The sequence below is a fragment of the Homo sapiens genome, chromosome 1, assembly GCF_000001405.40.
Source record: "Homo sapiens chromosome 1, GRCh38.p14 Primary Assembly".
NCBI classification, from domain to species: Eukaryota; Metazoa; Chordata; class Mammalia; order Primates; family Hominidae; genus Homo; species Homo sapiens.
Genome location: NC_000001.11, coordinates 17,572,672 through 17,588,509, shown reverse-complemented (window position 1 = coordinate 17,588,509; position 15,838 = coordinate 17,572,672). Strand labels below are relative to the sequence as shown.

Below are 15,838 nucleotides of genomic sequence, written 5' to 3'. Positions count from 1 at the left end.
CGCCAAAGCAAAGGAGCAAGGTTCACTTACCCTGTGCCGGGTGGAGCAGCTGCTGGGTCTGGGTCTGCAAAAGAAGAGCAGACAGAGAGCCTGTCAGGCCAGAGGCTGGCCCCAGGCACTCAGGCCTTCCCCGCCCCTTTCCCAGCCTCCCCAGGGGCGCCGCAGACAGGGCCTGGCCAGTCTGGGTGCCTGCTGAGCCCCGCCTCCCTCCCCCAGCCCTGGCTCAGTCATCAGCTCCCCTACCTGGCCTGCACCACCCCCACCCACCCCGTGGCCCACTTCCCAACTCCAGCCAGAACCCGTGGCAGCCACCCTGCCTGCTCTGGGCCTGCCCTCCACCCCCAGCTGCTCCAGGAGCCCGCTGTCCCCAAGCCTGCAGGAAGTTCCAGCTGGTCCAGTCCCCAGATTCTCTCTCTCAGATAACAGACTCTAAGAGCCCAGAAGCTGCCATTTAACACCAGCTTATCAGGGCCCTCCTGCCCCCCAGGGTTGCCAGCTCCCCAAGGCAGACAGGAGAGGGAACCTCTGGGAGGCTGCTCTTCTGGCTGGTGTGGATTCTTTAGGAGAAGCTGCAGGGAGGACTTCAGAGACACAAGCTCTGGGCAGCAACTGTCTCCAAAGCAAAACTCAGGCCAACCACTTCCATTTACAATGTGCCAAAGTGCGCCAGATGTTGCAGGAATGCTAGGAATTTCCAATTCACCAGGGAAGCCACAGACTGCAGCTTCTTCCCACTGGCTTTTCCCTTCCTGCTTTCTGGGGACAGCGGAGGGGCCACCAGGCATCCCTGAGAGCCTGGAGCTTCCGCCCAGTTCTCCATGCTCCCTGTAGCCCCAGGACCGGAAGTTCCCAGAAACATCTTACCAGTGACAGGGATGGAGTCCAAGTGGATCAGTGGGGGGTCTGTGTCCCTCTCAGGAGCAAGGCTGGGGACGCCCAGGGCTGCGCTGGTGTCCTCTTCATCATCACTGTCATCAAACTCAAACGCCTCTCCTGGGTCGTCCTCTGCCTCAGAGGAGGGGCCTGGGACTCCTGGAACCAGCTGATCTCCTGGAAGAGAGAAGGAGTTGGCCAGGCTGCAGGATCTCCGAGGTTTGGTCAATGGAGAGATGGCTGGGGTAGGTGGGCATGGCTGGAACTGGGTGAGCACCTCAGGTCTGAGCCAGGGAATGAGAGCCATCAAACTCAAGCCACATGGCCCTACAGTGCTGGTAAGGCCGGGGGGAGGGGGTTGGGTTAGGTCTCTAAGCAAGTGGCAGTTGAGGGAGGGAAGGGAGTGTGCTCCCAGGGCGAGCCTGTGCACCTCAGTACTTCAATGTATATCTTTCCTCTTCTTATTTCGTGTTTCCCTGTTTTGTGAGCAAGGGGTCTTTTTACATGTGTGTTTATGCGTGAGCACAAGCTTATTGTATGTTTGTGTGTTGATGTGTCTGTGTGCTTTGTGTGTGCAAATGAGCACAGACAGCGCATCCTTCCCACTACACTTTATTTGGTATGTGCAGCAGCATGAAACACAGCTGCCTGGGAATGCCTGGACTTGGAGGCAGCCAGCTTGCAGGTACTAGGGCACAGACTGGCTGGGGCAGGGGAAGGCACCAAGCTCTCAGCATGGAGGTCAGCTTGCTAGGCCTCATTCCCTGCTTTTACCCTCCTGGGGAACCCCTTTCGTGACTATGAACTCCTGTCCTCCTCTCCCATTAAAGCTCAACTCAAGCAGAGAGACTGTCCCCGCCTACCCTACTACAGGAGGTGTGGCCTCTCCTTCTCTGCCCCTGCCCCTTGTTTGTACTCCCCACCAAGCTCGGATCCCTGAGAGCAGACATCTCACCTGTCTGTCCCCTCTACTCTCTGGTCCTGGACCGGCCCAGACCAGGAGCTCAGCGGCTTTTGTTACATGAGTGAAGGGATGAATTCTCTATCCTAGAGAGCACGAGAAGCCATTTCCAGCCATTTCACCACATGGAGGTTCCCCAGTCCTCTTCCTAGAAGACTTCCTTCCTAAACTCTGGGCTGAATGGAACTTCAGGAGTTCAATAACTCCATCCCCTACCTTATGCAAACCATTGCAAAACCAACGGGCAGTTTGGTTCTGTTTTTAAACATCTGCCAAGCTGACCGCCCTAAGCAGCCCTCTCGTGGGCACATGACACACAGCTTAGGCATGAGCTCTGCGCTCACATGGCCCTGTCTGAGCTCCCTGCTAGCTGTGTGGTTCTGAGCAAGTCACTTTGCCTCTCTGAATTTTGGTTTCCTCTGCAAACTGGAGAATAAAAACAGCACTTTCCCCATAAGGCTGACATGAACATCAGCTGAGCTGCAGCTTAGGTTTTCTCAGCCTTGGTACAATTGATACTTGGGACTGGATAATTCTTTTTGTGGGTGGAGAGGGGGCTATCCTGTGCACTGTAGGACGATTAGCAGCATCCCTGGCTTCTACACCCTACAGGCCCAGGGGACCCTCCAGCTGTGACAACCAAAAATGTCTCCACACATTGCCATATGTCCCCCTGGAGGGTAAAATCACCACTATCAGAGAACCACTGGGTAGGAGTAGCCCTCGGCACAGTGCCCGTATATGTAAGGATTATGACAACAACAGCCGCAGATCCTTGAGGACAAACAGGATTTTCTAGCCCATGGGTCTGCGGACCCAGCCCTGGCAAATGCTCAATAAACATTAGATGGATGGATGAGTGATGGGTGAGGAGGTGGCTGGAACAGAGAGATGGGCAGATGGTCCAGCAGATGAACAGATGGACAGATGGACATATCTGATTCCAACAGTCTCTTGGACTAGAAAAATCCAGTCACTCCCCTACAATGACCTGGAGGTTCCCAGAGCATAATATTTTGGGGGCAGATGTAAGAAACCCCTTCTTCAGCTGCTCGACTGCAATGGAAGCCCAGAGTACGCCCTCCCTCCCCAGAATGAGAAGTACCCAACTTCCTCTGAGGCCACGGAGGAGGAGACACAGCCACTCCTCCTGGGGCTTTGGGGATCCCACAGGCCAGGTCAGCAGGGGTGGACTCTGGGCAGCGATGTGGCCTGTAGAGCAAACTCCTTCCCCAGGTGTCATGAAGCAAGTCCTGAGAGATCCCGAGCTGTGCCCCAGGCAGCTTCCTGATCCAGCCTCAGGATCACCTCCATTTACCCAAGACCCCAGAGACAGAAGCAAAGCAATGTGCCCACAGTCAGCAGCTAAGAGGATGGGGATGGACTGGAACCCAGCTCCATTCACCCTCCATACTCTTCTACTAAGCCCTCAGACATTCTGCCCTGCGCTGACAGAAAGGGCTTGGGTGGGAGCTGGATCTGTGGTTTTCGGACGCAGTTCCCAACCCCTGGTAGCTCATAAGTTTAATTAGGGGATTCCCAATCAGCATTGTATTTGGTGTTTGGATTGATAGCTTGTTTTGTTTCAGATGTTTCTAAACATTGTATTCTAATATTAATAAAATCATATGGGGTATCTTTTTGATATTATAATACCAAATAAAATACATTTGGTATTGAATTATTTCAGATGTTTAAAAAATAATGTATTGTGATACTAATGAATTCACCTTGGTATAATTTCAATATTGGTTTTGACACTTCTGTTTCAGTTACATATACACATTGGGTAGGGGTGTGTGTGTGTGTGTGTGTGTGCACGCACACGTGCACATGTGCGTAGAATCTTCTGCTCATCCCTTGCTCCCTCCACTCCAGCCACACTGATCTCCTTCCTGTACCACAAATGTGCCAGGCATGCTCCTGCCTCAGGACCTTTGCACCCGCAGCCCCAGGGCCTAGCACGTTCTTCCTTCGAGTATCTTCTCCTGCTCTCCCCTCTTTCAGATCTTTACTGCGCATCATCTCTCTGCATGCTGCGGCATCTCTACTGCACGCTGCCATAGAGACCTGCTGAGACTCCCGGTTTGCCCTGCCTACTTTACCTTTCTCTATGGCTGTTGTCAGCATATGATGCCATATGCTATTTGTGTTGCTGTCTGTCTCCTCTACTCGAATATAAGCTTCACGAGGGCAGGTATTTTTGTCTGTTTTGTTTGCTGTTGCATCCTCAGCATCTAGTGTAACGTCCAGCATACAGGAGGCACGTGATAAGCATTTGTCCCCCTGTTGTCATGTCTATGGGTGGTAATTTTCAAAGTTTAAAACATAGGCTGGGTGCTGTGGCTGACGCCTGTAATCCCAGCACTTTGGGAGCCTGGGGCAGGAGGATGGCTTCAGCTCAAAAGCTTGTGACCAGCCCAGGTAACATGGTGAGACCTTGTCTCTACTAAAAATGAGAAAATTAGCCAGGTGTAGTAGCATACACCTGTAGTCCCAGCTACTTGGGAGGCTGAGGTGGAGGGATCACTTGAACCCAGGAGTTCAAGGCTGCACTGAGCCATGATTGTGCCACTGCACCCCAGCCTGGGTGACAAAGCGAGACTCTGTCTCAAAAAAAAATAAACAAAAGTAAAAATTTTTTAATAATTTTAAAATCGGCTGGGTGTGGTGGTATGTGCCGGCAGTCTCAGCTACTCAGGAGGCTGTAGCAGGAGAATGGCTTGAGCCCAGGAATTTGAGGCTGCAGTGAGCCATGATCACACCATTGTACTCCAGCCTGGGTAACAGAGCAAAATCCTGTCTCAAAAAAAAATTTGTTTAAATACTGGAATAAATGACCACAAAGTCCCTACCCACTATTTTGGGGGTACCAGCTACAGGCCCATCCTGACTTACACAGGGTTTTCTTAGCCTCTCAGTGCCCACTGGTCCTTGCCTAAGTGAATCTGCTGGGCAGGGAGTGGGGGTGGGGGTCTCCCTTTATATGTGGATGGTGTCACTGCAGTGACTAAGGTTCTAGAGTCGGGCCACCTGGGTTCAGCTCAGACTCCAGCTCACCCAGGTACCAGCTGGATGAGTGTCGGGTTATTTGACCCCCTCCTAGTTTCCTGATCTCTAAAATGAGGTCAATAACAGCAACTACCTCACAGGGTTGTTGGGAGGAGGGAATGAATGAACATAAATAAAGCACCTGGTGCAGGGTGCGTGCTCACCAAATGTTAGCTTTTCTGACGATGATGATTCTGCTTATTATTATCACCATCGTTACATCATCACTGTCGTATTATTACCACCATTATCACTGTTATTATTATGATTACAGCCTTGTCATAGCCCAGTCCCTGCTGCTGGGTGAGAAGGGCAGTCCTCTCCAACTCACAGGCAAGACCCGGCCTCAGGCAACCCTGCCCCCAGCCATGTCCAGGGACTCAGGTCATTTCTACACCTTCTTTTTTTTTTTTTTTTTTTTTAAATGAAGCTCACTCTGTCACCCAGGCTGGAGGGCAGTGGTGCGATCATGGCTCACTGCAGCCTCAACCTCCTGGGCTCAAGTGATCCTCCTACTTCAGACTCCCAGGTAGCATCACCATGCCCAGCTATTTTTTTTTTTTTTCATTTTTTGTAGAGACAGGGTTCCACTCTGTTGTCCAGACTGGTCTCAAACTCTGGAGCTCAAGCAAGGTTTCTCAAAGTGCTAGGATTATAGGCATGAGCCACTGTGCCTGGCCTGCACCTCCTCCCTTTAAGAGTACAAATAGCTTCAGTTATCCATGCATGCAGTGAGCAGCTCCCAGCATCCAGTGGGCAGGGAGGGGGAAGGAAAGGTAAGACACAGTCCTGGGGTTCGGGGTGGGTGACTGTGAGCTCCCCTCCGGAGCTCACTGTGAGGCTGACAGGACAGAGCCAGCAGGAGAAAACCAAAAACCTCAGAGACTGAGACGGTGCCAAGAGGAAGGGGCTGGGGCTCTCTGGGGCTTCAGGAAGGGCTCCGAGGATGAGGCTGCCCTCGCACTGAGCCTTAAAGGATGAGAAAAGGCCTGACAAGCTCCAACTAAAGCGTGGATTCCAGGCAGAGGCCACAGCAAAGACAGAGAACAAACACCAAGTGCCCCGGGGGTGCTGAAGACACGCGCAGGAATGAAGGTCATTAGACAGTTGACAAGGTGCGTGGGGAATCCCCTACTCAGGAATTTGAATTTAATTTGGGAAGGTAATGGGAAGCTCTCAGAGAATGAGAAAATGGCAAAGAGCTGGGTTCACCCAGATGATACTAGCCAGCAATATTAGAAAGAGCTGGAACAACAAATATTTGTCAAATGTTTGCTGAACAGAACAGAATTGACTTAGTCATAAATTTTTTTTTCTCACTCCCCATGTTCAGGTTCAGGCCTCTTGGTGGGGAGAGGAAAGGGAACAGGTGCCCATGGCAGCAGGGGCGGGATGGGGCAAGGCCAGGCATGCTGGGACCCAAATCCCAGTCATGAATTGGGAGGTGAGATGTGCTTGTCTCCAAGGCCGCCTTCTATCCTCCCCCCGGCAATCAGGCATTGCTCCTTATCAGAAGGAAAACTCAGGAGGCCCATCCCAGCACAGCTGAGAGCTGAAGGAAGCCCTTCCTAATAGCCTGCAAAGGTGGCACAGCCAGAGCTGGTCACTCATGCCTCTGATGTTCCTGGACAGACCCGGTCCTTGTGAGAAAATACAAGCGAGTCCAGGAGGCGAGGGACCCTAGGAAGCCACCCATTGCCACAGGGAAGACAGGTCTGCTGTGCTGCTCCCCACCCCCCGCCCAAGAAGAACCCCGAGGCTCAGGGAGGAGGAGATGCATCATTTGGCTCTCCCAGGGGTGCAGGGCATGGCACACGCTGTCTGTCCTGCTGACACCCACGATGATAAGCACTCCCGTCAGTGAGCAATTGATTACCCCATGCCCACGCCTGACATATATTTAAACCTTGCAACAGCCCAGGAGAGGGTATCATTGTCCCCATGTTTACTGATGATGAAACTAAGCCACAGAGACAACATGTCACTTAACCAGCCCCACAGTCTAAGTGGCAGGGTCAGGATTCAAACTCAGATGGGGCTGAGGACAAAGCCCTCACTCATTACCATCTGCAATTCTGCCTCTCTCATAGTGATACAAGAGGACAGGAAGCTGCTGCCTGGGTGAAACAGCCCTGGGCCCATTTCCTCCCAGGCGGGGCCTGGATTCCACCTGCAGTGTCTGAGGCCCCAGTGCCAGGGTTGCCAAATAACATACAGGACACAGACTTGAATTTCAGATAAACGACGAATAATTTTGTTAGTATAAGTATGTATTTTTCTTTTTCTCTTTTCTTTTTTTTTTTTTTTTTTTTTTTGAGACAGTCTTGCTCTGTCACCCAGGCTGGAGTGCAGTGGTGTGATCTTGGCTCACTGCAACCTCCATCTCCCAGGTTCAAGCAATTCTCCTGCCTCAGCCTCTCAAGTAGCTGAGATTACAAGTGCCACACCATACCCAGCTAATTTTTGTATTTTTGTAGAGATGGGATTTCACCATGTTGGCCAGGCTGGTCCCGAACTCGTGACCTCAAGTGATCTGCCCGCCTCGGCCTCCCAAAGTGCTGGGATTACAGGCATGAGACACCATGCCTGGCTGTATTTTTCTTTTACTTTCTCTTTTTTTCACTAAATGCGGCAATGCTACCACTGTTCAACGGCCTGACCCTATGGCGCAACCCTCTCCTCCAACCTCAGTTCCTCACCCCTGATTTATAAGCTTCAGCCTGAGACCCCCGTGTGTTCACCTCTCCGGCGGATCTCAGGGAGACAGGAAAAGGATTGACCCTTGCTCAGAGCCTCCTCCGTGAGCAGAAAGTTACTTCTATTTTGTAGACAAGGAACGTGAGATAGAGGATGCGGCCCAGGCAGGGCCAGCAGCCAGCAGAGCAGACTTCCCACCCGGCGCCATGCTGCTCCAGAGCAAGGCCCTCCGCCGGCCCCCAGCGGCCCCCTTCTAAGAAAGGATGAGAGGGACAGGAAGCCCTGGGTACGGTACCTATGGCAGGCTGTGGAGGAGGGTTGGAGGAAGCCATCAGACAAGGTCCAGCTCAGACCAGCACCGTCCCAGCTACACACCTGTGGAAAGAAGACCAGAAATCGCATTAGCTGGAGTCAGGGCTGCAGTTTCAGCTACTGAGACAAGTCACTGGCTCACAACCTGTGCTTCAGCCCAGTGGCTCTCAGAGCACAGGGCAGCCCCAGAAAGGCCCCAGCCTCCAGCCTTCATAAATCATTAACCCATAGAAACATCAGCAGCTGTGCAGCCCAAATCCTTCTTCCCAGAAAACCCTGCAGCCACAGACCTTCCTGTTGCCAGTGCCAAGGGACCTGCAGGGACCTGCTGGGTGTCCGTCCTCATCCCCTCTGGCTTACAGGTGAAATCTGGCCCCAGAGTCCAGGATCATGCTCAGCCCCCAACCTTCCAGGAATCAGATCACACCTGACTGTCACAAATGGGGCTGGATACTTCCTCCTCCTGGCTGCCCAGGAAGCATGGGCTCCCTTAGGTCTGCCCACTCCTGTCAGTCCCTTCCGGTAGCCCTGCTGAAGGCCACTCTGACTCTGCCTCTTCCTGTCCTGCCCCATGGGTTGACCAGCAGGCAGGAGGTAACCTGGCCTTGGCACATGGGTGTGAGGAAAGCAATGGCTCCAGAGGCCAATGGCATAAGACAGGGACAGAATCCCAAATGCTCAGCGTGGGGGCACAGTTCCTCCTGGCCCAAGGTGGCACCGCCCTCCCCTCACAGTGGGAGCTCACATAAGCAAAAGGCTGATGCCTCCGGTGGGCTTCCTGGGCCCTGGAGCCAACCCTGCCCCCGCTCCCTACTGTCACCTTCAATTGTGCACTGGGGGCTGTCCTCCTAGACATCTTGTGGAGGAGAGAATGCACCCTGGAGGGAAAGCACCCAGCCCCCTGGTCTAATCTGCCCAGGCCACAAACCGGCTGTGTTCCTGTTTTCCTTTCCATTCCTAAAGGCTTTATTTTTATTAAACTGGCTTACTAAACAAAAATGAAATGCAGGTTAATGGCAATATTAGTAACAGTAGACATTCTTGCATTGCCAACGATACCTCAGACATAATTTTAAGCACTTTACAAATATTAACGTCTATTATTCCAAATTATAAATGAGAAAATGAGACCAAGAATGGTTAAGTAACTTGCCCAAGATCACACAGCTAGGAAGAGCCAGGGTTCGAACCCAGGCCATGGGGCTCTGGAGTCTGTGCTTAGAAGCAGCTACTACACTCTAGCACCTTTCAAGACTCAAACGATACAACAGGTAGACAATGAAAAGTTAGTCTCCGAGCCGGGCACAGTGTCTCACGCCTGTATCTCAGCACTTTGGGAGGCTGAGGTGGGCGGATCACTTCAGGTCAGGAGTTCGAGACCAGCCTGGCCAACGTGGTGAAACTCCATCTCTACTAAAAATACAAAAATTAGCTGGGCATGGTGGCACATGCCTTTAATCCCAGCTACTCAGTAGGCTGAGGCAGGAGAATCACTTGAACGTGGGAGGCGGAGGTTGCAGTGAGCCAAGACCGTGCCACCGCACTCCAGTCTGGGAAACAGAGCAAGACTCTGTCTCAAAAAATTAAAAAAAAAAAAGTTAGTCAACCTCCCACCCTGGTTGCCCTAATCCCCCAGTCCCCCAGAAGAGATGACTGTTACTGACTTCTCAAGAATCCTTCCAGAACTCTCCCATGCATGGGCCAACTTGCATATCTGCAGATATGCCTTGTTTCATACAGAAGGAGCACACAGCACTCACAGTGCTGCAACTGCCTTTTTAACCTAAATCTCAGTGATGATTTCAGAATAGTACTAATACATAGAAATCAACCCCACTTTTTTTAACAGCTGCATAGTAGGTTTGGTTTTGTTTTGAGGTAGGTGTTTTTTGTGGGGGTATAATTTATATAGCCCCCATCGATAGGTACTGAGGCTGCTTTGGTCTCGATTTCCCAGGTTGGAGTGCAGTGGCACAATCATGGCTCACTGTAGCCTGGAACTCCTGGGTCAAGTGATCCTCTCGCCTCAGCCTCCCCAGTAGCTGGGACTACAGGCACACACCACCATGCCTGGCTAATTTTTTAAAATTTTTTCTAGAGATAGGGTCTTACTCTGTTGCCCAGGCTGGTCCCAAACTCCTGGGCTCAAGCCATCCTCCCTTGTTGACCTCAACAAGTGCTGGGATCACAGATGTGAACCCTGACACCTGCCTGCATTTCTCACTGTGACTGATGATACCAGTTACTCTCTGCTAAGCGTGTGACTGTGCCTTTTAGACCCACGCTGAAAACTCTCAGGACTAAACTTTTACTTCAGCAAAGGATTTTGGAAAACAAACCTGTAGCTGCACGGCACTCCTGCTACAGGGCCCCCTCCCAGTGGGCTCATTCAAAACCTCTGAGGTCTGCTCAGCCTTTCTCTGAGGGCTCTGCTGCCCCAAGAGTTCCAGGAGGGAAGCAGCAGAAAGACCTATACCCATTTTACAGAAGGAAAAAGGGAGGCACTTTGCCCAGCCTCCTGTCCAAATTGCTCCTTAAATACAATTTGATGATGATACAGAAAGAGGCTGCTACTCTACCCTGGGGCCAAAACCCAGGATCCTTCCCTTCCAGGGCAGAAAGTCCAATGTCCTCCCCTTTCTTCACCCTTTGGGACTGATTCCTGCCCTCCCCTCCAAAGCCCAAGGCTTTCCCTAGAAAGGAAGAGAGACACCAACATGTATGGAGCCTGACACTTTATTAGCATTATTCTATCTAATTCTCGTAACACCCCAGCTTACGGATGAGGAAACAGAGGCTCAGAGAAGCAAATATTTGCCCCAGGTCACAGAAGCAAGAGGACAAGGTGACCACACTAGGATTCCAGCCAGTGAGCACTGACCCTAAAGCCTAATCTCAATCCTCTGATCGCACTGCCTCCCTAGCCTTTGGGGCTGGAATCTGGAAGGTGTTTGCTACAGGCTAATGCGGGGCTCTGAAGTGTCGGGACGAGGACGCAGCCCAGCAAGCCCTGCCCATACCCATAGGCCTGTGGCCACCATTTTGCACACACAGGCTGTTAGTCTCAGAAGGATGTGGACAAGGGAGTGGGGATGGCTCACAGCAGCCCCCTGCCACCACCACAGATCCTCACGGGGTTAGAAAAGAGTTCAGGTTCCCCAATACCACCTGGGTTCCACTCAGCAGCTATGAGACCTTGGATGAGTTAATCCTATCTCTGGGCCTCAGTTTACTCATCTGCAAAATGGGGATTAAAAAGTACCCACTTCAGGCCAGTCATGGTGGCTCATGCCTGTAATCCCAGCACTTTGGGAGGCCGGGGCAGGCAGATCACTTGAGGTCAGGAGTTCGAAACCAGCCTGGCCAACATGGTGAAACCCCATCTCTACTAAAAATACAAAAAATTAGCCAGCCGTGGTGGCACATGCCTGTAGTCCCAGCTACTCGAGAAGCTGAAGCAGGAGAATCACTTGAACCTGGGAGGTGGATGTTGCAGTGAGCCAAGATCACACCACTGCCACTCCAGCCTAGGCGACAGAGCAAGACTGTCTCAAAAATAAATAAATAAATAAACAATAACCATTCTCATCTTTAAAAAGAGAACTAATACAAAAGCATGGCATGTCAGAACCAGAAAGTAGCTCCAAGAGGGCAGTGTTGCTCTTGCTTTACAGATGTGGAAACTGAGTCCAAAGGAGGAGGGCACTGCCCACAGCACGGTGACTCTCCAGGCGGTGACACCGAAGGCCACGTTTAGAGGATAGGATTTGGTGCCGGGATGATTCAGGTTCAAATCCCAGCTCTGCCACTTGCCACAGCAGCAGTGAATTCCTTTCTCACTGGGGCGGTGGGAGTAAGACCAGCACCTGCTTCCTGAGCGTCCTGTGCTGATGAAATGAGGACCCAGCAGTGGGTGTGATGAATTCTACGCTCCATGCCCTGCACGGAGTAAGCTCTGGGTAGACAGGGGCCTCTGTTACCATGGGGACCCTATCCAGGCTATGCTTGGGTGGTGGGGTTATAGGAGATTGTTTTCTCTTGGAGGTCACCTTTTTAACAATGACCACCAAACCCAAGGAACAGGCGGACACTGAACAGTTCCCCTTCCTGCTACTGCGTGGAATGGCTGAGGAGGAGGCAGTGCTCAGACAAGGGAGGAAGAGGGGAGGCCCCAGCTCCCGGCTATGGGGTGTGCCCACCAGAGGCCCGGAGCAGGTTAGGCTCAGCGACGGGACCACCCAGAGCAGCCCGGCATTGGCACCTCCCTCTGCCCTCAGCTGCCCAGCTCATCACAGCAGGTGTCTTCCTGGCTTGGCTAATTTAGTCAGTGCTTATTAGTTCCCCTCCCACTAGGGTTCAAAGTCCATCTGCCCAGAGGCCCCACTAGGAAACCCTCCTCCTGCCTGCCCCTGTCCCACCCCGGGCCCCCCAAGACCATCTCCCACCCCTCACACATCAAGCTGCCCCATCCCTCTTCCACCTGAATGAGGCCTGGAGGAAGAAAACACTTGGGGGCCCTGAAAGTCTGGAAGGCTGCGCAAGTCGTGCCTTGAGGACAGGAAAGGCCGGCCTCTTTCTCTAACAAGGTCCAGGCAGAAGCGGGGGAAGCAGCAGCTGGACTGCTGGGATGAGCTGGGCAGCGGCCACCCAGCCCTGCCCAGAGAGAAGCAAGGAATCGGTTCTGGCCCAAGCACGCTTGTCAAGCTCTGGCCTCAGAGGCCCTCTGCAGGGCCCACCTCCTGAAGCAGAAAGAAGGTGGGGAATGGGGGGAAAGACCAGGTGCTTGGGCTGGTCAGGACCAGAACTCCTCCACGTACCTGTGTTCTCTGAGAGGTCTCTCTGGCTTTCAACTCTCATTAGACACACGCTAGGCCAACCCACCTGCCACCTCCGCTGCCACAGAGACACTCCGCAAACACACCTGTCACATCACCTTATTGCTTCAAACCCTTCCCCATCACTGTCAGAATGGAGCCTGGGTCCTAAGCAAGGCCCTCCAAGATTCGCCCCCTCCACCGACCTCTCGGATCTCATCGGCTCCGGGCCTGGCCTGGAACTCTGCTCTGGCTCTCACGAATGGCTTTCAGCCCCATGACCATGCCACCTGACCTGTTTGACATCTCCAGGCCTTTGCTTAAGCTGTCTGTTCCCTCCACATGGAATTCTCTCTCACAACCAGCAAGCAAATTCCTGTTCAGTCATCAAAACCAGACCCCATTTCTCCTCTGCAAAGCTTCCTTAGACCCATTTCACACAGTGGTTTCCAGTTGTGAAGCTTTTTAAAAATATTTATGTCCCAGGCCCACACCCAGAGATTCTGATTCAGTGGCTCAGAGGTGCAGCTGATAGGGGGCCAACAGGCTGTTTTCAAAGAGCATGGGTGGTGCTGGGACAGGTACATGCCTGCAGACACAGCCCCATTATAACTGTTGCCCTCCCCAAGAGCCTGTGACCTCTCTGGGGGCACTGGGCTTCTTTCCATCTCAGCATGGGTAGCACTGGGTCTGGCCCGGGGTACACACTAGACAACAGCTGAGACCTTCCCCTGCTTGGGACCCACCCAGCATGGAACCAAAGGGCACAGACCAGGAACCCATGAGGCTGGGACATCCCTGGACCTGGGGAGCTGCTTGTGTGGGGCTTCGGCCCAGAGGAGGGGAGAACAGATGGAAGGTGAGGTACAAGCCCTCCTGGTGTCCTCTGCCTGTCCTGAAAGCCCGGGGCCCGGAAGGAAGAGAAGGGGATGCAAACCACACAATGGAGCTGGAACAGGAAGTGGGGCGGGGTCTCCTGACAGAGAAGAGGGCCCACGGCTCCCCCACGCAGGGCAGCAAGATGCCCACAGCTCTTCTCAGCGCAAAGGGCCACCTGGTGGAGAGTCCGGGATGGGGAGAGAGGAGCTGCCTTCAAGAAAACACAGGCAGAGCTATAGCAGGAGGGGCGCAGGCAGAAGAGAAGGATGAGGTGTGTGGACAGGAACCCGGCCTTGGTATGAAGCCAGCCCAGACAACACTCATCCTCTGCTCTCCAGCAGCCCCACTCCGAAGCAGGCAGCCCTCTGCGCCTCCTGTGCTTACCTGTCAGGTGCAGGTGTAAATAAGATGACATTGGACAACACTGGTAGGTTTGTAATGAATGTCAGTTTCCTTCCCACGGTTCCTGCCAGTCCCTGAGGACCAACAGCATTTTCTCATTTTACAGACTGCTAAACTAAGTCCAAGACAAACGTATTCCACCGGAACACCAGGCCTGAGATCACAAAATTTGAAATGACAATAGCTGACACCTCCGAGCACTGTCTGCACCGGGCCCCATACTGAACATTTTAGTTTGCATCTCATTTGATTCCCATAGCAGATGAGGAAAATGAGGCTGACAGAGACTGAGGGGCATCCCCAAGGCCACACAGCTACGGAGCCCCTGGGAGCAAGAGGGCAGGACCCTCAGCCTGGTCCCAGGCCCAGGGTGGAAGGGGGAGTAGGGGAGTGGGTGGGTCAGGGAGCGTCCTCCCAGACCCTCCTCAACCCTGCAGGTGCCAGAGCTGCAGAATCTGGCAAGGGACCACACACCCCAGCTCCTCCCTCACCGACCTGATGGACACTCAAAGGGCTTCCCGAGGTGGGGGCGGCTCCAACTTCCTTTCCTCTTCACCAGGGAGGGGGAGGGGAGCTCTGAGAAGGGGGCCTGCCTCACTGGGGCAGGGGCCAAGTTTGGTCAATGGCTGGAGCCTCAGACAATGGAGACTCTGTCCTGAGCCCAGAGTCGGTGGCACCCACCCTCCCGCACTGACCTCCTAGGGAGCCCCTGGTGAGGATCTGCAGGCAGGAAGAGTGGGGAGCACTGGGGAGGGGGCCCTGGGAGTAGGTCTCTGTGGGAAGGAGCCGACCCTGAGGCCAGGCCAGAGGGGACCCCTGGGGGCTGTTGCCTGGGAAACCAGAGCCAGCCTGGAGAAGTGGCTGGACAGCGTGGGAGGGGGGCGGCCCCAGACTCTATCTCCAGCCCCCCTCCTCTACCTCCTCCTCCTGCTCTTCCTCCTTCCCTCCCAGCCCCCAGACACATTAACCCCTTTGTCCCCGGCGATCCAGCCCAGCAGAAGGAGTGAAGAAGCTGAAGTGCCGGAGGAAGCCACCTGCCATCAGCTGAACTGACCCCCCTCTTCTCCAGAGAACCCCAGACCCTCAGCCCCACATCAGGGGTGTCCCTGTGATGGGGCACCGTGGCTCCCACCTGGAAGCCAGAGAGGGGACAGCAGCTGGCATGACACATACTGTGTGCCATCAACTCGCCCATCAGAGCCTCAGCTTCCCCACCTACAACAGGGATGCCCGCCTCCCAGCTGCTGGGCGTCCTCGCTGCTGGGCCCTCGCCACTTAGCATGAGAGTGTGTTTAGGCTGCAGGCAGCCTGAGAGGTGGGTTTCCTCACCTCCTTTTTAGACACAGGGAAGCTGAGGCTCAGATGGGAAGGGACCTACCCAAAGCCCCCCAGGAGGATGAGGCAGGCAGGGAAAGGGAGGTCCATGTGCGTCCCTGCAACCCAGCAGGTGTACAGACGGAAGAATGGCAGGAAAGAGCTGGAGCTCACGGAGGGGCACTGCCAAGGGAAACAGTAGGATTTGGGGGCACACACAGGGGTGTCTACCACTCCCCAGGCATCAGGGTGGAGCCAAAGGGAGGGGCAGCGTTGCTCCTGCTACACCTCAGGGCTGAACTAAAGCCTCCAGGGGGCCAAGCTGAGGTACAACCTTTGGGGAATCTGTGACCCCAGTTCACCCTCCTCACCTCCAGGGGTCAGGCTCACCTCCTCCACCTTTCACAAAGTAAGCCACTCATCCTTCCCCACTCAGCCAACTTCTCACTGCGCACCTACTGCCTGCCAGGCCCCAGCTTGGCACTGGGGACAAAGAAACAAAAGAGAGTTCCGGGTTCCTGTCCTCAGGCAGCAG

The 15,838-nt window shown here is 53.7% G+C and overlaps 1 protein-coding gene across 40 annotated transcripts in view, besides 1 other annotated feature; it reads right to left on the bottom strand.

Moving 5' to 3' along the window:
• Positions 1 to 15,838, bottom strand: part of ARHGEF10L (Rho guanine nucleotide exchange factor 10 like) — a 184,441-nt gene that overhangs the window by 109,366 nt on the left and 59,237 nt on the right. For 33 of the 40 annotated variants that reach the window (NR_137287.2, NR_137288.2, XR_946686.4 and 30 more), the window contains 3 exons: positions 7,878 to 7,957; positions 865 to 1,050; positions 31 to 64 (listed from right to left, as the gene is read on the bottom strand). Coding sequence is in view for 36 of the 40 variants with exons in the window: in XM_024448061.2 (XP_024303829.1) it covers positions 31 to 64; positions 865 to 1,050; positions 7,878 to 7,914 (257 nt within the window). In the remaining 4 variants the exon portion in view is untranslated. Of the gene's footprint in view, positions 1 to 30; positions 65 to 864; positions 1,051 to 7,877; positions 8,059 to 8,184; positions 8,341 to 15,838 lie in introns of those variants that run through there. The other 7 variants (XM_024448059.2, NM_001438945.1, XM_024448062.1 and 4 more) reach the window with 5 other exon arrangements.
• Positions 6,267 to 7,113: an enhancer, noted in NCBI's record as "H3K27ac-H3K4me1 hESC enhancer chr1:17907892-17908738 (GRCh37/hg19 assembly coordinates)". NCBI's record gives its function as "activates a minimal SCP1, AML or CMV promoter by ChIP-STARR-seq in primed H9 embryonic stem cells {active_cell/tissue: H9 hESC(primed)}" and the evidence as "EXISTENCE:reporter gene assay evidence [ECO:0000049][PMID:30033119]".